Raw genomic sequence first — 26,109 nt, 5'->3', positions numbered from 1 at the left:
ACACATTCCCGCTCCAGTCTGTAGGACTGCAGTCCAGCCCCCAGCTTTCAGGCCCTTCCTGGCCTGAACTCGGGGCCTCAATGTGGACCTTCCACCTAGGAACCTGTCTGCCTCCTGCTGCCGTTCATGGCACCCAGGCTGTAGGTGCCAGGGGATATCTGCAGGCCAGCACTGAGCTGTCCTTGGCCCCCCATTGTCTCCCTTCCTAAGCTTGTCAGAGCCCAAAGTCTGGAGGGGGCTAAGGCAGCAGGGAACTGGTGTGTCAGCACTGCCCCAAGCATGTGCACACCTGACCTGGCTGTGACAGCACCTGGGATCAGCCCTGACTTTGCTTTGAGATTGGAGTGGGCACTGACAGCAGGGAGAGCCAAGCAGGGGGAGCAGACATTTCCAAGAGGGTAGGGATGCCTGGGTCTGCAGCCGCGATTTGGATGGCTGCAGCTGTGTCCAGGAGGGCAGGACTCCTGCCTGCTCCATGGAGTGGGAGGCCTGGGTCCACAACCACCGCTCGGGCAGCTGCGGCTGCAACCGGGGAGCTACTGCCACACCAATTTGAAAGGGACAGGGCTCCCACTTGTCCCCAGCTCCCACCAGCTCCACAAAGTGTGCAGCCCTGGTCATGGCTCCCTGCTGCAGCTGGCATGATGGCAACGGCCACCCCAGATGGGCCACCACTGCCATCATGAGGAATGTAGGAAACTAAATATCTCGTCTTAATGGGGTAGCAGCTAATTATTTCTATCTAACTGTAGCCACATATATACCGAGACATTTTGATTTTCTAAGGAAACCCAGAAATTGAGATTTTCAGATGAAAGATCTAGATTTTTCAATGTTGGCAACAAAATAATTTTCCTTAAAAACAGCATTGTAGTTCTAATGATCTCATCTGCTGTCCAGATTAGGTATGTGAGCTGCCACTTTGTAATCTGAGGATTAGGAAAATGATGTGTTAGATGTTGATAGAAGTACCTCTCTTTCTAGACTCCTATTTTGGGAGTAACGGAGGTACTCTCTAAGGAGTCAGGCCATCTCCCATAGGCTACATCATGTAGGATCTATCACATAAAGGGAACAGGAGACCTGGGCCTTCAAAATGCTTTGCTTCCCAAAAGATGCTCTAGGTGGGAGACGAGCCTGATAACCAGGCCTTGCGGTAAAGCCAACAAAAAGTTGCCTTTACCCTCCAAGTCTCCTGCCCTCAGGCTTGACTCTGGGGCTTGTCTATCTTCACACATGAAGTTTTCTGCAGTCTTGACCTGAGTCTGGCACCAGCCTGCCCTGACACTGCTTGTGATCCCTGGCCTGGTTGGCAGCCACAGTCACCCCGGCCTCTGTCCTTGCCCACTTGGGCGTTAGTTTTCACACTCCCAATAGGACACTGGCCACCAGTGCTGTCCTGACCACAGGATACAGGCCAGAGAGACTCCTTCCTCACCTTTCCCTCCCTCCTGTTAGAAATGCACAAAAGGCCTAAATATGGGTGGGCTCATGCCTTCCCAATAACAGTGATTCTCTCTGCCTCCCCACCTCCCCTGAGTGTAGAATTCCTTGCATGTGTGGAAGGGGGATCTGGCAGGGTGATGCATTAGTCTGAAGCTATGCTGGCTGTGGCCCCCCACGATTCCTCTGAAACCCACGAGCACAGCTGAGCACAATTCTTAAAGGGATAGCAGTGCCTCCTGCTGACTCTCCCATGCCCCTTGACTCTGCAGAGAGCTTGCAACAGGGGCTCATCCAGGGTCAACCTCCAAACTCCACCTCAGGCATGAAACAGAGTCTGAAAGAGCCCAGAAGCCCGGGTCCTTACAAGGTCAGAGTGACCGTTAGTGTTGACGACTGCATAAACTGTAAGGTGACCACCTGACTACACAGAGGGACTCATCTGCCATGGGCCACCCACCTACTATGGCTTCTCCTGCCTTGAATGAAGTCCTCAGATGTGCATTCCAGTGTATCCAGGACATTATATCTAGTTCTACAATAAGCCACAGCCATAAGCAACATCAACAGCTTTTAAACACCAGACAGCTATTTAATCAACATGTCAAGATCTGAGGAAAATGATCAGTTCACTGCCATTACCCATCCTAGAGGGACTCACTTGAATGGAGGACACTGGACTAGCAGGAACACATACCCTGAAAACAAAGATGTTTCACTTTGGCAAGTGGAGAGGGCGCTGTTGTCACCATGATTTGATCAGCTGAAGGAGACTTCCTTCCTGTAGATGCTGGAGAGAGGCCTGCTTGCTGCTCAAATGCACAGAGGAGAAAGTGACCATCTGGGCTAAAGCTAGGAATGCTCTATAGCTCTCCATAAGGAATCATCCAGTGGTGGGGTGGGCATCTTCACAATGAGTTGCCTGGGAATATAAGGTTCAGTGGAAATCATGTGGCAAGAAAGGCTTCTGGGATTCAGACAAGCATATCTCCCAAATAGCCCTAAGGACAATCCCAACACAATCTCCATGTAAATCCCCTGTCCCATGAAGTTCATGCCAGCCCGTGTGCCCTCTTTCCACCCACCTCTGTGGCCACCGCCCTCTGATTTCAGACCTTTGTTATCCTGAATAAAGCCTCCTGCACCTCAGTCAGAGTCTGCAGCTCCACCCTAGGCCCCAGCATCAGGCTGGGAATTCAACAAGCCTCGGAGGACCCCAGCCAACTCCCTGGCCTCACAAGGCCTTCCTGTTCAGAGACAATGAGGAAGTCTCGGCGTCTTTATCCCAGCCAGTTCCTCCCCACAGGGCCGGCACCCTCACTGTCACCATTGGAAACTGCCCCCTCTAAATCACTGATTCAAACACTCCACACTGGCCACCCCTTCCCCCGCTTCAGCTCTCTGGGGATAGCTTCTCCTTGATGTCTCACAGACACCTCCAACCCAAAGCAACGGAAACGGAGACGAGTCAGGAGCACTGTCATGCATTTACACAGTTTAATAGCTTGGGCAGATGGAAGCAACCTGGGGTCTTTCATCTATGGGAATTTTGGCATCTGGAGGAGGTTGCTGATGAAGTCCCGCATGGCTCCGAAACTCAGGAATCCTTCCTCCTCCTTCTTCTCCTCCTCCTCCTCCTTCCCCCCATCACCACCAGCACCACCATCTCCTCCTCCTTCTCCTCCTCCTCCTCCTCTTCCTCCTCAGATTGGGGCATTTCTTCTACTTGAGAGTGGGTGTCATCTTCCAACTCCAAGATCCATCTGAGCTGCTCATCCTTTTGCAGTGCCCTCTTCACGTGTTCTGGGGTGATGCACAGCCTGCAGCTGTTCTTGACCTCCTTGCCCACCTTTTCCAGGATGTTGGCTGTCAGATACTCGAGAACACCAGCCAGGAAAACAGGTGTGGTTGAGCTCAGGTGCCGGGCATGCTGACTTTCTCGCAGGCAGCGTTCCAAGTGGCTGACAGGAAACTGCAGCTCTGCTCTTCTGGAATGGGAAAGGCGTTGTCTCCTAGGCCTACAGAACATTTTGTTTCCAGCCATGAGGAATTGCTGGGTTTTGCCCCAATTGGCACAGCTTGATTTTCCTGCTGGCCTGAGCCTCTCAAGGTACCAGTGCTTATTGCCACCCACTGTATCCCTATGCTCCAGCCCCTCATTGGTCAGGGAGTTGCCTTTGTGACAACCTCCACTTTTTGATGTCATTGGTGTCCACTGGGCTCTGATCAGGCCTCAGCCTAGAAAAGCCCATGAGAGGAACCTGATCACCCTAGCAACTGGAACTTCCTTTTGAGAGGGACCTGGTTGCCCCAGTAACCGGAGCTTCTTTTTGAAAGGAACCTGGTCACCCTAGTAACTGGAGCTTCTTTTTGAGAGGAACCTGGTCACCCTAGCAACTGGAACTTCTTTTTGAGAGGAACCTGGTTGCCCTAGTAACTGGAACTTCTTTTTGAGAGGAACCTGGTCACCCCAGTAACTGGAACTTCTTTTTGAGAGGAACCTGGTTGCCCTAGTAGCTGGAACTTATTTTTAAGGAAAAGCTCATTTTCTATTTAACATTTTAGCAAAAAATTGTGTCAATGAAAGTATTGTCCTGTCTTTAGGACACCACTCCAGGTTCTTTAAGTTTAGCCTTGCATTGTCTGTGAGCTAATTTACATTCCCTCTAGAAGCTGTAAGTCACTTACAGACATGTTCACTGCCTTGCTCCCAATTTTGCCTCCATGTATACATTTACTTAAACATTCATGATCAATGTTCCTATGTTTATTCTTTGAATTCCCTTTTGAATGGCTTATAATATCCGCCAATTTCCTCACGAGTTAATCGATTGTTTCAACGCATTTCCATATCATAGGTGTTTGAGTGTTATGATTTTACTCTGTTAGAAAATACCTTTTACCTGTTTTTAAAGGTCACAATGTTATACCCAGTGGATTCATCTATCAGAGCTAGGCAAACTTGGTGACAGAGATGTGTGCTTCATGCTTGGTTAAACCCAGGAATGTCTTTGCTTGCCTCATCTAGGTGACTCCAAAGCCCAAATAAGTCTTTGTTCATTGTGTTTTTCTAATTTTAGTTTCAACATTTAATTTTTATTTCAATATTTTTCTCTACTAATTCTGTATTTTGTTGTTGTTGTTGTTGTTCATTGACATTAGGTAAGTTATTTTCATTGTTGACCAAATGGTTGGGAATTCAGTTTTAGGATCCAACCATCTGGAGAGCTGTGTAAATGAGTTAATGATTCATAGAAATACAGTCTCTGTTGTGTAAAAGACAACAGAAAATCTGGTTTGACAGTCTTTTGTCCATTTGTCTATTTATAGCTCAAATCAATTAAGAATTTTATACTCTCTTAGAGGAGAACAGTTTTTTTTTTTATATTTGGATCAGAGAACTTTACTGTTTCTATTTACACTTGACTCACGGTTGAAATTGTAGAACTGAAGCTATAAGCTCTATCTCTCTGTGCCTATATGTCTATGTGCTTGTAATTCTGAAATAGCTCCACCTCTGATTGTGTGATTATGTAAAGTTTTCCTACCTCTGGATGGTATTGACGTGTTCGATTATAAAGTCTCTTTTGCTTACATAAATTAAATATTCCCAAATTCCTCCTGTCTCTCCACAGGGCTCAGCAGGATGTGGTTCTCACAGCCAGTGGCCTAAGTCCCCAGTGGTCACCTGAGAACCAGGACCACTGCACCTTGGGGAAGCCTGCCTACAGGTCTGCTGTTAGGGAAGGAAGGAGATGCAACTGTTTATTAAGGGGGACCCTGTGCATGCACTGTGTGGAACAGCAGTTTACAGGCACAAGTGGACTCAATCTTGGGAAAACCCACAGATGGAGAGACTTTTACTACCCCCATTTTACACATGAGGAGGACTGCTCAGAGGGAGTAATTGAAGGTCTAATATCACATGTCCAGGAAGTGGTGAACTGGGATCTGAAACCCAGGCCCGCAGCTCCCATTGTTGGAGCCGGCTGTGCAGCCTCTGACCAACCCTCTGTGAAAGGCCAGCAGGCAGCAGACTGTGGCTCCCAAGGACCCAAGGAAGAGGTGGAAACCTAAAATGTGGGCACTCACAGGCAAGGGGACAGATTGCTACAACACTTGATGTGACACCTCTTTTAAACTTAGCACAGAGCAGGAAGTTTTGAAAAGGATTGCATGTGCTTTAGAGGCCGCCACTTGGGACAGAATTATTTCTATACCTCTTAAAACATGGATTGAGTCACTAATAATCCTTTGGTGCTCTATGCAATATATGGTAATTATAATGAATAAGTATTCAATTTAAAAATGAAATTGTTAATCGTGTTTTAAATGAAATACATTTATAATTAAGCTGATTCATTAATAATTAACAACCATTAAGAACTTCTTGAATTGCCCATCTTAGGCCAGATCATAAATTTTATATATTCTTTTGATTTATTTTACCAGTGTCCTGAAGAGAGGACAAAAAGATATATTCACAGCACTAGCTAATAATCCCTGTCTCAAATCCGCTTTCATAATAAGGCAGGGCATAAAGAAATAAGAAATGAAATCCAGCAGGCCATCATTTCTTTTTTGCATTTTTCATGATGGTTTCTCCTTCACTCTTCAATCTCCATGTAAAGCCCCTGTCCCATGAACTTCATGCCAGCCAGTGTGCCCCTCTCCACCCACCCCTGTGGCCACCGCCCTCTGACTTCAGACCTTTGCTATCCTGAATAAAGCCTCCTGCACCTCAGTCAGAGTCTGCAGCTCCACCTCAGGCCCCAGCATCAGGCTGGGAATTCAACAAGCCTCAGAGGCCCCCAGCCAACTCCCTGGCCTCACAAGGCCTTCCTGTTCAGAGACAATGAGGAAGTCTCGGTGTCTTTATCCCAGCCAGTTCCTCCCCACAGGGCCGGCGCCCTCACTGTCACCATTGGAAACTGCCCCCTCTAAATCACTGATTCAAACACCACACTGGCCACCCCTTCCCCGCCTTCAGCTCTCTGGGGATAGCTTCCCCTGGATGTCTTACAGACACCTACAACCCAAAGCGACAGAAACTGAGAGGAGTCAGAAACATACTCATGGATTTACATCCTTTAATAGCACTTGTTGATGACAACAGCAGATATTCCTCAGCTGTGACACATTTTTGCCCTGGCTAAGCCTGTGAGGTTCCCTTCAAGGCTCTGGGACCCAGTCTTCAGTCATTCTTCCTGGATTTGGGCATCTCATCAAACAAAAAGCGAGTCACATCACTCTCAGCGCTGTGGGGCTCACGGTTGTTGTCCACTTCTCTCTCCCTATCTTGTGAAGTGTTGCGCATACTGCCATTGTTGCTGGCCTCCAAGCCTACCCGCTCCATGATGTAGTCAGCAAGGCAATCGAGCAAGGTAAGGAGGGTATTTATTGTGGAGGAACTCTGGCTTTGGACGTCTCGTTCATCTTGCACAACGCGGTCCACGAAGCTCCTAGGGACCTGTAGCTCATTTCTAGAAGGGTCTTGAGTCTGGTTGTTATTTGTAGACGAGTTCTTACAGTTCTTTTTCTCTGACATGATGTTTGCTGGGTTTGGCTCTCATCAGCTCTGCTTGATTCTCTAGCTCAAGTAGGTCTCTGAGGACACTAGTGCTTAGTCCTGCCTATTGTATCCCTCTGCTCCAGGCCCTTATTGGTCAGGGAGCTAGCTGCCTTTGTGACATCCCTAGACTTTGTGATTTCATTGGTGTCCACTGGTCCCTTATCAGACCTCAGCCTAGAAATGTCTATGACACTGATCTAGTCACGCTAATGACTGAACCTTGATTTTGAGGGAACTATAACTCTCTACCTGATTTTGACATTATAAAAATAAATGTGTGCTTCAGTGGAAAACTTTGCTCTGTCTTTAGGACACCACTGCAGGTTATCTGATTCCAGCCTTACATTATCTGTGAAGTCTTTTATAGCCTTTTGTTAGTTGTAGGCTGCTGATACATGTACAGCATATTCTTTAGTAGAGGTTCGGTTGTTCTTCACCTTATGAAACCAGTTTTGCCTCCATTTACACAATCATTTAATATTACTGATGAATATTCCCATATCAACTCTTTGGTTTCCCTTTTGAAGCAGTCATAACATCTTTTTCTTTTAGCATGTGTTCATTTCATATCTGTATGAGTGTCATGATTTTACCCCATTTGAAAAATATATTTTAGTCATTTTTCAATTAATAATAAGATGCTCAGCCGGGCGCAGTGGCTCACTCCTGTAATCCCAGCACTGTGGGAGGCAGAGGTGGGTGGATCACAAGGTCAGGAGATCGAGACCACAGTTAAACCCCGTCTCTACTAAAAATAAAAATAAAAATAAAAATAATTAGCCGGGCGTGGTGGCGGGCGCCTGTAGTCCCAGCTACTTGGGAGGCTGAGGCCAGAGAATGGTGTGAACCCGGGAAGTGGAGTTTGCAGTGAGCCGAGATCGTGCCACCACACTCCAGCCTGGGAGACAGAGCGGGACTCGGTCTCAAAAATAATAATAATAATAAGATGTTCAATAAGTTTACCTGTCAGTGCCAGGTAAACAGTTGATAGAGAAGTGCATCTTGTGCTCAGTTTAAGCCCAGATGTGTATTTCTTGTCCCTCCTAGGTGAAGCCAAAGCACTAAGAGATGTTTCTTTTCTATTATTTAATTTTCTTCTCTACTAATTCTGTGTTTTCCCTTTGACTTTGGTTCATTTACAGCCAATAACTTTGCCATTCCACAAGGGAAAAAGTGGAAAGAAAAAGGAGTCTCAAATCCAAGCATTTTCAAAATCCAACCATTAGGTTTCAAGGCCTGAGAATATTCTAAGGCTTGAGACTCCTCCCTTTGATGACTCTGATCCTATGACTTCACCTGGGGTCATAAATCTGCCCTCTGGCCTCTAGGTTCTGCCCTCAGTCATTGTTCCTTTATTTTGAATGGTAGCATATGTTTACAGCTGAGTAGTTTTATCAGCCTGCTTCCTCCTGTCAAATTTTGAGAGTCCTGTAGACTTCTTTCATTTCTTCCTCTATTTGTCCCTTTCAGTCTAAGCTGGCATTGTTTCTGCTGATATAACATTGTCAAAAACTTACAGGCCTTTTATGTATGTCATGGGGATTCATGCCATTAGACAAGAGGCTTCTTCAAGATCCCTCATAGAAAATCCCATCTCTATTCCTTGCTTATTCTGAGAAGCACACCCCATATCTCTTCAAAACACCATCTATGTGATTGAATACTTTGATCTTTTGATCCCTTAAAGGCACTAACAAAAGGATGTCTAGCCACGCCCTTGATTTTATCTCTGGAGGATGATTTTGTGGCAATGAATTTCCTAATTTTGGTGTCTTTTGCAATCTGGATAGGCTGAAAATTTCTCATATCATTGAATTCTGGTTTCTTTTTGCTTAACAGTTCTTCCCTCAATTTATGTCTTTCCTCTGGCATTTTACTATAAACAGCAATAAAAAACAGGCCATTCCTTTAATCCTTTGCATGAAAATCTGCTCAGCTAAATATTCAAGTTCATTGCTTACAAGTCCTGCTTTCCACATAATTGTAGAGCACAATTCAGGTAGGATTTCTGATGCTATATAACACAAACTCCCTTTTCTGATATTATGTTACTAATTTCTTTCTAAGCATTCACCAGCAACACCTTTGACATTTTATTTCTATCAATAGTTTGTTTATGATAATTTAGGTGTTCTCTAAGACAATATAGACTTTCTCTACTGTGTTCCTCATGTCTGAGCTCTCACCAGGAACACTTTGAACATTCATATTTCTATTAATGATCTGTTCAACATAATCTAAGGTTGTTATATAATGCTCCTGAAAATTATTCCAGTCTATAGCTATTATCCAGTTGCAAAGCCACTTCCACATTTTTAGATATTTCTTATAGCAGCAACCCACTTCCAGGGACCAAACATTGTGATAGATCCCTATGGCTGCTCTAATGAATTGCCATAAATTTGGTAGCTTTAAAATACACGCATTTAGTATCTTACAAACCTGGAGGTCAGAAGTTCAAAATCAGTTTCACTAGGCTGAAAATAAGGTGTCAACATTGCCATACTCCCTCTGGGGACTCTAGAGGAGGGTCTGTTTCCTTGACTTTCCCAGCTCCTAGAGCTGCATTCCTTATCTCATGGGCCCCTTCCTTCCTATTTACAGCCAGCAGCATAGCATTTTTCTTCAGTAGTCACATTTCCTTCTTCTGTGTCAAATTCGCCTCTGCCTCACTCTTTTATGAACTTGTGTGATTGACCTTAGGTTCTATCAGATAATACAGAATAATCTCCCATCTTCCACAATCATCTTTGTGAATTCTCTTTTTCCATATAAGGCAACATTCATAAGTGCAAGGGGTTAGGATCTAAGTATCTTTGGGGACCATTACTCGGCCTATCACAGGAGTTATTCCCAGGAAACTCTGGCAGGGAAGAGAGGAATTGAGACAGAGAAGGAAAGGAAGCAAACAAAGTATTCGTTATCAAGCAGCTAATGTCACTGTAAAACTTTAGAGAACGCTGTAGTAAACACATCTTCCAGGGGCAGATGATGTCCCACTGTTCTGGACTGTCATATTATTGAGCACAGTGGGCTCTGATGACCTAATGAAAGGTCTCACACAAAGAAATAAGGGTTCTGACATTTGAAAGTCAGGCAAATATCTACTTAAATGGTATGAGCTGTTGGAGTATGGACAGGGCACTGACAGCATCTTCTATACCCAGAAATGTTTGTATACCCTCCTAATAAAGCCTTTCCTTTTCTTCTTACCTCATGCCTGCTGTTTCATCCTTTCATGTAGCTACCTGGCATCAGACACTGAGGTTGATGCTGGATATTCAATGTTAAGCAAACTAGGCATTATCTATCTCATCCTTATGAAACATCCAGTCTAGTAGGAAAGACAGATGTTAAAACAAACACCCAAACAAATATGTATTTCAAATTTATTGTGCATGATCAAAAGCAGAGTTTATAAACTTTAGCACTATTGACATTTTGGACTGAATAATTCTTTGTTTTGTGGCATAAAGGCTGTTCCTGGTAAAAAAGGACAGCAGTACCTTGGCCCCTATCCACTAGATAGTAGCATCTTCCAGTTGTGATGTCAAAAAGTAGCCAGAGGACAAAATTATTCTCAATTGATAATCACTTATTCACATTTAAAATGTTATTTTAAATGTTATTTTAAGGATGTAATTTACATAGGGTTATGGAGGAATGTTGAAATGACACTGAACCTTAGAACTGTCACAAGAATAAGGAATGAGTCAGAGAAGTGGTAAGATAAATAACATTCCATGGACAAATCCCCAGACTAGTAAAGTATTTGGCATGTTTTAAATGAAAGCTAGTAAGTATGCTGAACCTGAGTGCAAAAAATGAGAGTGTAAATGATGAGTTAATGGGTGCAGCACACCAACATGGCGCATGTATACATATGTAACAAACCTGCATGTTGTGCACATGTACCCTAGAACTTAAAGTATAATAATAAAAAAAGATTTAAAACTCTTATGAGTTATAATAGTAATAGAAACCTGCTTACTGCTCCCTTGTTTGCTACCTGTACTTCTTCAAATGATAAAAAGCTTCATCACTACCTTAGTTCACCAAAATGCTTCAGCACAAGTGTACTATATGAATCACTATTGATCTGTCTTGCAAGAAGACATGGGTAGTGAGAATAAAAGTGAGAACTTCCACTATTGAATGAGGTTCTCAAAGCGGGGGAATAAGGGAGGAGACCACCCCTCATATTGTCTTATGCCCAATTTCTGCCTCCAAAGAAAGAAGAAGTAAAAACTAAAAGGCAGAAATGAAATCCACAAGCAGACAGCCCGGTGCCACACCCTGGGCCTGGTAGTTAAAGATCGACCCCTGACCTAATCGGTTATGTTATCTAAAGATTACAGACATTGCATAGAAAAGCACTGTGAAAATCCCTGTCCTGTTCTGTTCTGTTCTAATTACCGGTACATGCAGCCCCAAGTCACATACCCCGTGCTTGGTCAGTCAATCACGACCCTCTCATGTGGACCCCCTTAGAGTCATGAGCCCTTAAAAGGGACAGGAATTTCTCACTCGGGGAGCTCAGTTGTTGGAGACGTGAGTCTTGCCGAAGCTCCTGGCTGAATAAAGCCCTTCCTTCTTTAAAAAAAAAAAATAGTGTCCTTTGAAACACAAAAGTTTTTATTTTGATAAAAATAAAGTGCGATTTATCTATTCTTTTCATTTGATGCCTGTGTTTTTTCACATATAAGAATCGATTGCCCAAAAAGAGGTCATGAAGATTTTTTTCCTATGTTTTTTCCAAAAGTTTTATGGTTTTAACTTTTTCATTTAGTTCTTTGATTCATTTTGAGTTAATTTTTTTATATAGTCTAAGGTAAGGGTCCAATTTCTTTCTTTTGCATGTGGCTATGCAGTTATACCAGCACAATTTGTTTGATAGTGCTCTTCCTTCCCCATTGAATGGTCAAAAATCATTTGACTATAGATGTATGGGTTTATTTCTGGACTCTCAATTTGATTCCACTAATCCATTTGTCTATGTTTATACCAGTTCCAATGTCTTGATTACTGTTGCTTTGTAATACATTTTAAATAAGGAAATGTAAGTTATTCAATTTTGTTTTTTAATATTTTTTTAATTAGTCTGAGTCCCTTGAAATTTCATATGAATTTTACGTTCCACTTGTGAATTTCTAAAAAAGAAATAAACTGGGATTCTGATAGGGATGGATTATGTTAAATCTGTAGGTAAATTTGGGGAATATTGCCAATCTGACAATATTAAATCTTCTAATCCATGAAAATGATATGTTTTTCCATTTATTTAAATGTTTACTTTTGCAACAATATGTTGTAGTTTTCAGAGTATAGTCTTTGCCCTTCTTTTGTGATATTTATTCCTAAATATTTTATTATTTTAGGTTGCATTATAATTATTTTTCTTAATTTCCTTTTCAGGTTGTTCATTGGAAGTGTATAGAAAGACAATTGATATTTTTGTTTTTAACATTTTTTCTTTGTTTACATTTATGCTCGTAACTCAGACAATTGATTTTTATATATTGATCTTGTATCCCATAAACCTTGCTGAACTCATTTACTAGTTCTAATAGACTTTTAGTGGATTCTTTAGGATATTCTATATATAAGATAATGTTATTCATGAATAGAGTTAATTTTACTTCTTCCTTTCTAAACTAGATGGCTTTTACTTGTATCTTTGCTTAACTACCCTGGGTAGAACCCATAGTACAATATTGAGTAGAAGTGGTTAGAGCAGACATCCTGTTTTGTTCCTCATCTTAGGGGAAAAACATTCAGTCTTTCACTATTAAGTATGATGTTGGCTGTAGGTTTTTCATAGATACCCTTTATCAAGTTGAGGAAGTTCCTTTCTATTTCTAGCTTGTTGAATATTTTTTATCTTGAAATGGTTTTGGATTTTGTCAAATTATTTTTCTAAATCAATTGAGACTATTATATGTTTTTTCTATTGATGTAGTGTATTACATTAATTAATTTTGGGGTGTTAAACCAACTTGGCCTTGCTAGGATAAATCCCACTTGGTCATGGTGTACAATTCTTTTTATATGTTGCTGGATTCAAGTTCCTATTATTTTCTTGAAGGTTTTTGTACCCATATTCTTAAGATATATGGTCTGTAGTTTTCCTTTCTTGTGATGTCTTTATCTGGCTTTGGTATCTGGGCAATGCTGGCATCATAGGATGATTTAGGAAGTTAGCCCTCCTTTTCCATTATTTTGTAAGAGTTTGTGAAGAATTAGTATTAATTGTTCTCTAAATATTTGGTAGCATTCACCAATGAAGCCATTTGGGCCTGGGCTTTTCTTGGTAGGTAGTTTTTTGATTACTAATTCAATCTATTTATTTCTTAGAAGAAGTCTATTCAGATTATCTATTTCTTCTTGAGTCAGTTTCAGTAGTTTATGCCTTTCTAGTAATTTGTCCATTTTATCTAAGTTATCTAATTTATTGGAATAAAATTGTTCATGGCCTTTCCTTATGATAATTTTTATTTCTGCAATGGCAGTAGTAATATTCCCTTTTCATTACTGATTCCAGCAATATGAATTCTCTCTTTTTTATTATCTAGCTAAAAGTTTGTCAAATTTGTCATCTTTTCCAAGAACAAGCTTTTAGTTCCTTTAATTTTCTCTATTTTTTTGAATTCACTATTTTATTAATTTCTGCTCCGGTCTGTATTATTTCCTTTCTTCTGCTAGCTTTGAGTTTAGTTTGCCCTTCTTTTTTCAGTCTCTTAGGTGGAAGGTTAATTTATTGATTTGAGATCCTCTTTCCTTTTAAATATACATCTGTGTTTACATCTATACATTTCCCTCTAACCACTGCTTTAGCTGCATCTCATAAGTTTAGGTATGTGATGTTTATATTTTCATTCATCCCTAATTATTTTCTAATTTTCATTTTGATTTCTTCTTCCACCCATTGTTTTTTAGGAGTGTGTCGTTTACTTTCCACAGATTTGTGGGTTTCCTACATTTCTTTCTGTTATTTGTTTGTAGTTTCACTCCATTGTGGAAAGAAAAAACAGTGGACATTTTTTCTATCCTTTTAAATTTAATGAGGTTTATTTTATGGCCTAGCACATGGTCTATTCAGAATGTTGTGTGTGCACTTGAGAAAAATAAACATCCTACTTTGTTGGGTAGAGTGTTGTATGCAAGCCTAATAGGTCTAGTTGGTTTGTGGTGTTCAAATATCCTCTTTATTGTTTATGTTCTACCTACTTCTCTCCATTACTGGAAGTGTGGTATTCAGTCTCTATTATTGTTAAATTGTCTATTTATTGCTTCATATGTTTTGGTGCTCTGTTGTATAGATGATCATTATCGTTATATCTTCCCAGTGGGTTGACCCTTTTATCATTTGAAAATGTCCCTCTTTATCTCTAGTAGCATTTTTTATTTTAATATATGTTTTCTATGACATTAATATAGCCACTCCAGCTTTCTTGTGGTTATTTGCACGATTATGTTTTGCCATTGTTTTACTTACAATCAATTTTTGTCTTTGAATCTAAAGTATGTTTTCTATAGACAACACACGTTGGATCTTGTTTTTTAATTCAGCCTGACAAACTGCCTTTTATTTGGACTGTTTAATCCATTTGCATTTGATGCTATTACTAATATAGTTAGATTTACCTCTGCCATTTTACTTTTTGTTTTTTATAGCTTACATGTCCTTTTTGTTCCTATATTACTGCTTTACTGCTTCCTTTTGCATTAAATGAATATTTTCTACTGTAGAATTTTCTTTATTTTTTCACTATATTTTCTTGAGTTATTTCCTTAGTCATTTCTTTAGGGCTTATCATATGTTAACTTATCAGAAACTGAATTCCATTGAGATACAGAGACATTATTTCTATATAGTTCTATTTATTTCCCCATTTTTATGGTCTTATTATTATATATTAAATCTATAAATTCTACAAACCCAGCAATACATTGACATAATTATTATTTTATATATTTTATGTATTGGAAAGAAGCTGAGAGAAAAAGAGCAAACATATACTTATAGCTTTTGTTATATGAACCTTCTTATTTCTCATTTATGGCTCTCTTCATTTGTTTCTGTGGATTTCAGCTATCATCTGGAGTCACTTCCTTAACCCAATATGGCTTTTCTCCCACCCATCCCCTTTTGTGGTATTATTGGAAAAATAGATTACATTTCTATATACTACATGTATGACATACATTATTTACATATTGCTTTATACAATTGCTTTTTAAATCAGTTAAGAGAAGATAGGAAAAAATACATGTACACTCTCTTTCATAATTACATAATTACCTTTACCAGTGCTCTGTTTATCTTACTTATTTAGTCATTATTTGCATAGATGTGAATTACTATCTGGGATCATTTGTTTTCAGCCTGAAGAACTTTCTTTAATTTTTTTAAATTCTTTTTTTCTTTCTGCTCCTCAAATTGGGCAATCTCAGTTGACAAATCATGAAGTTCATGGGTTCTTTCTTCTGCCATTCAAATATACTAGTCAGCCCTCTATTGAACTTTACATTTCAGTTATTATAACTCTCAAATCCAGAATTTCAATTTGGTTCCTTTTTATGATTTCTATCTCTTTATTAGTAAACTCTATTTGATGTGGCATTTTCATATCTTCCTTTACTTCTTTAATCACAGTTTCCATTAGTCCTTTGAAGATATTTATAATTACAACTTTAAAGTCCTTGTCTGTTACATCACATGTCTTGTTGCTCTCATGGGCAGCTTCTGTTGCCTGCTTTTTTCTGGTATATGGATTATACTTTCCTGTTTCTTTGAATGTCTTACAATTTTGTGTTGGAAATCAGAAATTTTAGATAATATGTTGTGGCAACTCTGGGTATTGGTCCCCTCTAAGTACTTACTGTTTTCTGCCTGTTTGTTTAGTGACTGGTTAGATTATTTTAGTGAAGTGTAGTTCAACCCACTCTCCCTCTCTTGCAGTATAAAACCTTTGATGCTGCTCCTCATGAGGTGCAGACTTGGGAATGACCATAGTTACCCTGGGATGACATTGGTTTGGGCAGAGCTCTCTTTTTCTCTTTCCCTGATCACATCCAGCCATTAAATTCCACTAATTACTGGCTGATTGTTCTGTTGCTTCTAACATAGGGCATAAATTGCTCCATAGACTGATCCAATCTAGTCTGGGCTCTCTTGACAGGTTAGTTACCTAGGTCAATGTTTAAAATTTGCTCTCAGGCCGGGCGCGGTGGCTCATGCCTATAATCCCAGCACTTTTGGAGGCTGAGGCAGTTGGATCGTTTGAGCTCAGGAGTTTGAGAGCAGCCTGGGAAACATGGAGAAACCCCATCTCCACAAAAAAATACAAAAATTAGCTAGGCATGGTGGCATGCACCTGTAGTCCCAGCTGCTCAGGAGGCTGAGGAGGGAGGATTGTTTGGGCCCAGGAGGTTGAGGCTGCATTAAGCTGTGATCGCGCCACTGCACTCTAGCCTAGATGACCTTGTCTCAAAAATAAAACAAAAATAAAATTTGTTCTGTCCCCAGTAGGGCTCATCACACCTGTCCTTTTCCAAGCTCCTCTCCAGCAAAGCAGTCGGCTTACAGTTTTGTCTATATCTCTGATTAATTTAGCAATCTACTCTCAACTGTCTTTTAAAACAACTTCCACTGTTTTTGAGAATGCCATTAGGCTTGAATTTCTCCACTTCCTCTTGCAAATAAAGTCAGTTCCTTTGGAAGAGATTCACGGTTCTATCTTTTATGGCCTGCTTCTCCTCCGGGGAATAATCTCTATACCTTGGCTCTCAAGCTGGGAATGGAGATAATGGCACATTATTCTCTGAGTGACATCCCTGTCATAGGAGCTGAACACTTCTGAACATAGGTAGTAACATTAGTTCTTCTCAGCTTGCCTCTCTCCATGTGGATCACACATGGATTAGAATCTATGCAAAGATGATCAGGTCCCAGTATACTCAATGTTGCCACACCTAAGGTAGAGATTCCATCCTATATACTGGAGGCTAGGATGAAGAAGCAAGCCCCCACTTCTTGGTCACCTTGTCCAGAACTTAGCCTTAGCAACAGGTAGCTGCGGGCAGGTTAAAAAATGCTGAAGTCCTGAACTTCTCTTAAAGGTAGCCCTTGGAATGGAAACTGGAGGGAGAAGGAACCCTGTGTTCTTTGCTGTACCAGTCCTAAGTGGAGTTTCCATTTCACTAAGTTTGAAGGGGAGAAGAATAGGCTGGGTCTTAGTTCAAATACCATAGACTTTTGCTATTCCCACCAATTTTAATAGATTTTCTTAAACATTTATTCCCTTGCTATACGCCTTTAGGATCATTTCTAGAGATTTTAAGTGGTTGAGTTTGCAGAGCATCTCACACTGTTATACTGAAAGTAGAATTCTGGTTGTTTTTTGATTTACTAAGGCTTGCCAGTTTATTACGCAGCATTATTGGGGCAATAGATAACTGTTGCACACTACCTAATTGTGGAACCACTAGAACCCCAGGCTCCCAGTACTTCGTGGGGAATCCAGAGTATTTCCTCTATTGGCAATTGAAACCACCATATGGATTTAGTGCATGAAAACACTTCCATGATACATAATCCAGTGGTCTGAAAAACACTTCATTATGTAATTTCCAAAAGTGACAAATTAAGTCAAGTTGAAAGAATTTTACTTATAGATAGGTGCAAAGGAAGTTTAATTCTTTAGGCAGTAAGAAATGGCATCATTCTCAGCAAACTCGCAAGAACAAAAAACCAAACACCGCATGTTCTCACTCATAGGTGGGAGTTGAACAATGAGAACACATGGACACAGGAAGGGGAATATAACACACCGGGGCCTGTCGTGGGGTAGGGGGAGGAGGGATAGCATTAGGAGATATACCTAATGTAAATGATGAGTTAATGGGTGCAGCACACCAACATGGCACATGTATACATATGTAACAAACCTGCACATTGTGCACATGTACCCTAGAACTTAAAGTATAATAAAAAAAAAAGAAAAGAAAAGAAAATTTAAAAAAAGAAATGGTCAAGCATTTACTCTATTACAGAGAAAAAGTACTCTCACAATTCAGTGGCAAGCAAACACAAGACTGAAGATCTGTCTTCAGTTAGGAGGAGCCATCACTCCATTTGAAAACATTTCATGAAAGCTAAACTTGCAGAGTGAGATCTTCCCTCAGACATTTTGCCAGAATGAGAGAGAAAGTGGAGAGTGGTTATTATCACATCTAAAAACCTCCTTACTTTAATTCCAGAGTCAGAAAGATAGTCTATCTAGTATGCTTTATTCATAATACAAACTGTGAAAGAAAAAAATAAAAACTCAGAACCCAATTCACTATCCAAAAGGAAAAAAATTAAGCTGAAGGCTGAGTCATGCAAGAAACTGTCTTTCCTTTTGTTCAGAAGCAGATAGCTAGATATTAAAGATTTAATATCCCCACAGCGGCTACACTATGTTCACCTTATCTTATGTAAAGTGAGATGAATACATAATTAACCTTTCCCCTACCTGCTCCTTTTCTCTTGCAACATGTGGATTCAGTAATGTGACTATAACCTCCTTCTTTCCCCTCCCGCCCACTTTTCCCGTTTAAATATTGAAGCCCTCAAAATCATCTTTGGAGAAAGGCACAGACCACAGACTGTTTGTGTAATTTCATGTTTTTTCTTCTGGACATTTCCTTATCTTTGGCAAAATAAACTTCTAAATTGATGGAGACCTGTCTCACACACTCTTTGGTTACAAAACAAAATGTCAAAATCACTGTATGTATTTCACTGCAAAAATTTCACTTACAATTTGTGTTCATAATAGATTAAATTAAATATTAAGTTAAATAATATATTAAGTTAAAATCATTATGTTATAATACAGAATGTACTGCACAATCTCAGCTTTAAAATGTTTACCCTTCCTTCTTCTCCTGAACCTCCATTTTCACCTCACCTTCTCCCCTTTATAGCCAGTAAATGTACTCAAGATCCTTAAAGACCCAAATAAAACATTTTTTTCATCTTTGAAGCTTTTTCTCAGTTTTCTAGGTTATTTTGTTCTCATATTTGGGCTCCAATGGTACTCTCTAAAAGATAATACACCAAAATGGTATTAGTTATCACTTCTTCATGGAAGGTCATTTGTATTTTCCTCTTTCTACTTGTCTATATTTCATAATTGTTTATATAAAACATGAATTGCTTTTGTAATAGGGAAAGAAACAATAAAATTTCCATAGAAAATGAAAATTAAATCATGCTCAATTGAGATTCACAGAGGGGCTTTATTTGTAAGCATTATGATGTGTGACCAGGTTATGTGATCACATAAGTTGATCTGGGAAAAGACAGAGCCTGGAACTACTGCGGTTCATTTCTCAAAAGACAAGGTGGCTCTAAGCCGTTTCAATCACATGTTGAAAACTGAAATAATAACTTGTCTCCCCCTCACCACCTGTCTTTCCTCCCATATATCCTATCATTAGTTGTCATTTTTTCTCCAGTTGCCCAATCAGATCTCAAAGTCATCTAATAGCCTCTCTCACTCATTATGGGCACCAACTCTCAATTCTTTCTTAGAAATATTCCCCAAACCATCCTCATTGTCAGTGTGATAGTTCAGGACCTCATTTTCGTTTGCCCAGGTATTTGCCACGACCTCCTGCTGGTTTCTCTGGTCCATTCTCATCCTTTTCCAGGTTATTTTCTCACTATTACTGGGTTCTTTTTGGTTTTGATTTGAATTTTCAAAAATGTGATTGCACTAGTGAAATAAAGAGACTGACTCCATTTTTTAAATGTTTGATTTCTGATAGCTGTAAAGCCACACTCCGTTTTCTTCTTCTATCCTACAAGTGATCAAGCTAACAATAAAGTCTAGGTGTTCTCTCCTTTGGTGCCAGTGGAAAATTCAAACCGCCACCAACCCCTTCCTGTGCATGGGAACCACCCTGGCCTTACTCACTAACCACCATAAAACTTCAAGCCATTTTTACTGCTTGTGAGTCACCCTACTCTTCCTAGAAAGCCTTATTATGTGAGTAAGAAATCTTCATACCCTCTTCGTGTGTGTGTGTGTGTGTGTGTGTGTGTGTGTGTGTGTGTGTGTGTGATCATTGGTCCCCATACCGAAATCAAATTTGGGTGGTTGTTCATCCTGTATCTTTAAGGTGGACACAACAGTATTTCCCTAACATTCAGTCCCTTCTACCCCACAAAGTAGAGTACAGAATACATCTCATATGACTCTTCACCATTTCTCCCTATCCTACCTCCCTTGCATTATTCCTCATTTCCTCCTCCCCACACAAACCAATATTTAACCCCCTGACCATTCATTTCCAGAACATTCTATGCTCTGTCACAATTGCTGAGTGTATATCTCCTGTTTCCTTTACCTGGAACGCCTTTCATACTTCCACTTCCCTCTTCCCTTTCCTACCCCCAAGCCACCTTCTTTCTCCTTGATGTCTACAAAATGTTTTTTTTCCATCCCTAGTACTGAGTAGGATGGCTTCTCCTCCTAAAGTCTCCACTAATTTCTCTAGGCAGATATTTTCTCTTCTTTTCCTGGCCTATAACAATATTGAAATCATTGTTCTTGCATGCTTACAGGTCTCTCTCCCTCTGCAAGAATCTGAGCTTTTCGATGGTAGGGACCTTCCTTTTTTCATCTACTGTGCTTGATTTCTAGCACATTCTTATGAATATAATCAGTGCTAAATAATATTGGTTGAGTAAATAAATAATTTTTTCAAAGTAAAGTCAAATTCTTATTAAGAGTAAAGTGATGTTAGTAAACAAAAGATTGTGAGTTCTTTGAGATAGAGAAGGATTTTTCTCTTTTTTGAGGTGGAGTCTTGCTATGTTGCCCAGGTTGGAGTGCGGTGGTGCAATCTCTGCTCACTGCAAACTGCCTCCTGGGTTCAAGCGATTCTCCTGCCTTAGCCTCCCGAGTAGCTGGGACTACAGTTGTGCACCACCACACCTAGCTCTTTTTTTTTTTTTTTTTTGTATTTTTAGTAGAGACAGGGCCTCACCATGTTGGCAAGGCTGGTCGGTGATCTGCTCGCCTTGGCCTTCCAAAGTGCTGGGATTACAGGCGTGAGCCACCATGCCTGGCCAGGACTTTTCTTTATTTGTCTCTAGTGTTAGATGAAAATAAATTTTAAGAAATTGTTGCATGGCTAATAAAACAATTGTAAAATATTTAAAATCTAGCTACTAAAGGCTTTCACTTTTATGAGTGTCAAGGTGAGATGAGTTCATTATTATTCCCAGAATATACACACTTCATCGTCATGGAGTGAGATTCTTTCAGGACTCATGATGCTTCTCTGTTAAACTTGATCACCATAGAAGAAGCAATGTGGCCTCTGTGGCTTAATAATCATGAGAAAAATCAGCTAACAGAAGTGAAAATGACTCATGTGTCTCATTCTCCCCTCCCATGAAAACAAATTTGGAAAATTATGGGTCACAGTGTTTTCTTCTGTTTTCCCTAGTCTGCTTATGCAAGAGTTAAGAAAACCTTCTCACCATGTGATGGTAAATATTTACATCTTTTCTTGATAACAGTTGAAGTCTGTAGTCACTAACTTTATCTAAGAACATGCCATTTGCAACATTTTGTCAACTTAGATGACACCCTTAAAGATAAGCATATTCCAACAAGAAAAATTGTATCTTGGATCACATTTCATTCAGTTATTCAACAAATGTTAACTGAGCATCTATTATGCATCTCTATCACAGCACTGAATCCACTGTATCCTGCTTATCTATTTACAGGTTTCTCACCCCCTGCAAGTTTTTGAGCTTTGGAGGGCAGAGGCCACTCTACTTTTATATAGTACCCACTACTATGCACTGAGTTGGCACATTCATCCAGTGCTGACGAAGATTTAGTTTCATGACCTTATAAAATGTACCGATATCTAAAGCCTGGAAATCCTGAAAACAACAGGATTATATAAATATAAACTTATATATTGAGGTTCACATCCTAAGTATGTATAAGAAAGAGAACCAGCTTAAGAGTATTCTACTTCATATGAAAATATACGAGCAAATGTTTTCGTAGTCCGAAGTCTCAGTGAGATGTGCTAATAGGTTTATACAATTGCTAAGAAAAACACAAAAGGTCAAATTCCTGACTGCTTCCACAGCTTCTATACTCCACCCACTCTGTGACCATGGGAGGATTGGTGCCATGATAAATCCATGGACACCAACTTTCATCAGGTTCAAAAGCCTGCATGGCAATCATGGCAACCAATATACATGTTCCCTAGAGGATCCCTTTGCCCACTCCTAACTAGTATATATTTTTTAACCTCATCACTCTCTTCAAACCATGTTTTTCCTCATTTTCTATCTCATTATTGAAGGTGCTGTCAATGCTTTCAAATATTTCCTCAGTCCCTGCTGCTCCAGTACATGCTGACTTCACCCTACTGTAAACACCCATACCTCTCAACTAAAATCTTTTATCTCAGCTGGCCTGGGGAGGACTGGAAGTCGTGGAAAGCTAATGTCCCTGGGAGGAGCTCTCAGCCAATGACAGGTGGAAGATGGAGAAGAAATATTCCAGTTCCCTTGCTTCTAAAATGGAGTAATTCTGATGTATGTTCTGCTCTGTTTCCCAGCATTTCCCAGCAAGACTGAGCCACAGTTGGCCAAAGCGGAAACCTGCTACATAGTACACATTTTATTGGCTTACTTCTCCTACCTGTCTAACTTCCTAAATAAATCTAATGGTGATTTTTGGAAGTAACACCCAAATAAACTATGTTCACGCAAACCCTGTCTCAGTATTAACTTCTGAGGGTACAATGCTAAGACATTCTCTTTCAGCAAAAGCACTAACCTTCTATTACACAGAAAGAACAATGACCCCACCCCTATCCCAGGGATGATCTATAACCCTGGTGATCCAGTTACAAACTTAATTAAATCCACACACATACTTCCCTTCTGCCCTTCACCTTCAGTGGAAGAGTTGCCTATTCTTTTACTTAAGAATAACCCAACAATCTGTTATCTGGATTCATTAGTCTTGAAACTTTTTGTAACATTTTATTTTGAAGTGATTTCAGATTTATAGAAAATCTGCAAAATTGCAAATAGTTCTCATATTCAAACAGGACTCCCAAATGTTAACACTTTACCACATTTGCTTCATCATTCTGTTTCTCATTGTTTTATAAAATTATTGTTGTAGTAAAAATCACTTAACATAAATTTGCCATTTTAAAGTGCACAATTCTGTGGCCTTTAGTACATTTACAATATTGTACAACCATCACTACTACCTAAGTCTAGGACCTTTTCATCATCCCAAAAGGAAGCTCACTACCCAAACAATCATTTCCCATACCTACCTTCACCCAGCCCATGGCAACCATTAGTTTTGTTTCTCTCTATTTACCTACTGAGAATATTTCATATATATAAAGTCATATAATATGTGATTTTTCTTGACTGGCTTTATTCACTTACGATAATGTTTTCAAGGTTCATTCATGTTGCAGTACGTATCAGCACTCCATTCCTTTTTATGACAGAATATATTTCATTGTATGGATGGTAACACATTTTGTTATCCATTCATTAGCTGATAGACATTTATTTAGCAAATTTTCAGTCTACAATACAGTATTATTAACTATAGTTGCCATACTGTACATTATATCTCTAGACTTATAAATCCTATATAACTGCAACTTTGTACCATTTGGCCAACATCTCCCTGTTTCTCCTACCCACCAACCCCTGGTAGCTACCATTTTACTCTGTTTCTATGTATTTGACTTGTTTAGATTCTACATATAAGTGAAATTATTCAGTATTCTTCTTGCTGTTTTTGGCTTATTTCACTTAGCATGGTGTCCTTATTTTTAAGTCTTTAAACAAGCACAATTGGGTGGATCACCTGAGTTCAGGAGTTCAAGAGCAGCCTGGCCAACTTGGTGAAACCTTATCTCTACTACAAATATTTTTTAAAAAAAAATAGCCAGCCATGGTGGTGGGTGCCTGTAATCCCAGCTACTCGGGAGGCTGAGGCAGGAGAATCACTTGAACCCGGGAGGCAGAGGTTGCAGTGAGCCGAGATCGCACCACTTGCACTCCAGCCTGGGCGACTGGGGGAGACTCTGTCTCAAGAAAAAAAAAAAGTGTTTTATATTGCTCCTCTGGTACTAGCAAGCTGCACCAGGTATGTGGGTTGCTGTTTTTATGATACTCACCACTGAGCTGGTGGGAGTGGGGAATGGGAAGTGAGGAGTTAAATCATCAGAGTTCTCTTAACAAACTTCAGCAGCTTCTTTCATTAAACATTCCCCTAGTCATTGTAAGTTTGGGATTATATTCTAGAGTTCTGAAAAAGTTGATTCTGACCACTTTTGCTTAATTTTTCTTTTAGTGGAAGAACAGGGTTTTGGAGTGCGCTACTCCAATAATTTGGTGACCTTTTCTGATGATGCATTTGAGGACTACGCTCTGATTTTTTTTCTTACCCAAATTCCTACCTAAGGGGTCGAGGGAGTCATGCCCTACAAACCATAAATTCTCATCAGATGAGCTTTATTTGACCCTATGTATTGTGACTTACTTTTCAATCTGACTCTGGCATAACATTATGAGACAATGAAAAAAATATTTAACCCCAAAATATATTTCCTTGCCAGACCTTGAAATTCCCCTGCAAAGTCTATTGTGAGAAAAACCCACATTCTATAGAGAAGCCCCTTCCCCCTTTGTTTTCCTTCCTTTCTTTCTCGATCCAGGAGATAATCAACTAAGAGCAAGGCAACCTTTTAAGTGCAATAGGAAACAATTTACAACATGCTGTCTCTGAAGTCTGCTATCTGAGAGATTCCTCTGCACAATAAAACTTGGTCTCCACAATACTTTATCTTTAACCTGAACATTCCTTTCTATGGATCCCAGGTCTTTAGACAAACTCAACCAATTGTCAACCAGAAAATGTTTAAATTTACCTATAGCCTGGAAGCCCCCGCTTCGAGTTGTCCCGCTTTTCTGAACCAAACCAATGTATTTCTTAAATGTATTTGACTGATGTCTCGTGCCTTCCTAAAATATGTAAAACCAAGCTGTACCCCAAAGACCTGGGGCACATGTTCTCAGGAGCTCCTGAGGGTTGTGTCACGGGCCATGGTCACTCATATTTGGCTCAGAATAAATCTCTTAAAATATTTTACAGAGTTTGACTCTTTTCGTCAACAATAATCTGGCTCCCAAAACATATGGGGCCTCAGAGAAGACTCAGGACCCCGAAGGAGTTGCCCGAAACCGGAGCTAACGTATCAGCAGGGGTCCATTGAAGCCCCACCGCGTTGGAGCTTCTCCTCCAGTGGAACTGGTGAGTCCTCTGAGTCCTGGACCTCCCTTTGGTTGATGGTCCTTGATTTATTCTGAGTTGGTTTTCTCCTAGGAAGTTGTTGTTTAAGGATCCTAATTCTAGTTCAGAGATGCATTCTAAAGGGAATTCTCTATTGCTTTTTCTACTAAAATTTATCCTATTCCGGTTTGTCTGTGTGCATTTGTGTGAGGAACTGAGCTGTTGTTTTCCTAGATAAATGAGAGACTGAGTTTTTCATCTCTGAAGAGAAAGGGCATTTGCTCCTCCCAGCTGAAAGGTGCCCTTGGGTGACCGGGAGCCTCATGGGAGTGTCTGGGGGGTTGACTCCCCGAGATGTGCAGCGGCCCTGCAGGGAAATCCCCAACAAAAATCAATTTTAAAAAATGGCTCGTCCAGGAAACGCATAGAATTGCTCATTACCCAGCGTTTTGAGCCCTTTCAGAGGTCATAGACCTCTGGAGAGAGAAACTGAGACACGTAAGAGGGCAGAAACACTCAGTGGTGACAAACTGTAGAGTCCTGCCCGCAAACAGCACACATGGATCCCACAAACAGCACACGTGGATCCACCACACAAGAACCTAGGGCACAGCTCAGTTCCTCCTTTAAGAAAAAAAAAAAAGCCGGAATAAAGATAAAACAAGGAGAATGACCCCCTTCTGGGCGCTCCATAGGTTTTATCACACCTGTACTTGCCAGAGTTATATA

General features: G+C 40.3%; 3 protein-coding genes across 23 annotated transcripts in view; all 3 read right to left on the bottom strand.

Moving 5' to 3' along the window:
- SYTL5 (synaptotagmin like 5) overlaps window positions 1-26,109 on the bottom strand; it is a 239,906-nt gene that overhangs the window by 130,990 nt on the left and 82,807 nt on the right. The gene's annotated exons all lie outside the window — the stretch shown is intronic.
- H2AL3 (H2A.L variant histone 3) lies at window positions 2,927-3,559 on the bottom strand. Its single transcript, NM_001395555.1, has one exon. It carries the CDS (start codon window positions 3,485-3,487, stop codon window positions 3,041-3,043), a length of 447 nt encoding a protein of 148 aa, NP_001382484.1. The 5' UTR covers window positions 3,488-3,559; the 3' UTR covers window positions 2,927-3,040.
- Window positions 6,517-7,052, bottom strand: H2AP (H2A.P histone). Its single transcript, NM_012274.2, has one exon. It carries the CDS (start codon window positions 6,989-6,991, stop codon window positions 6,638-6,640), a length of 354 nt encoding a protein of 117 aa, NP_036406.1. The 5' UTR covers window positions 6,992-7,052; the 3' UTR covers window positions 6,517-6,637.

Source organism: Homo sapiens, chromosome X, assembly GCF_000001405.40.
Source record: "Homo sapiens chromosome X, GRCh38.p14 Primary Assembly".
Taxonomy (NCBI): domain Eukaryota; kingdom Metazoa; phylum Chordata; class Mammalia; order Primates; family Hominidae; genus Homo; species Homo sapiens.
This window is presented reverse-complemented; position numbering and strand designations above follow the sequence as displayed.

What these genes read in the sequence shown, in the direction of transcription:
- H2AL3 (NM_001395555.1), bottom strand. Translation starts at nt 3,487, where the DNA reads ATGGCTGGAAACAAAATGTTCTGTAGGCCTAGGAGACAACGCCTTTCC.
- H2AP (NM_012274.2), bottom strand. Translation starts at nt 6,991, where the DNA reads ATGTCAGAGAAAAAGAACTGTAAGAACTCGTCTACAAATAACAACCAG.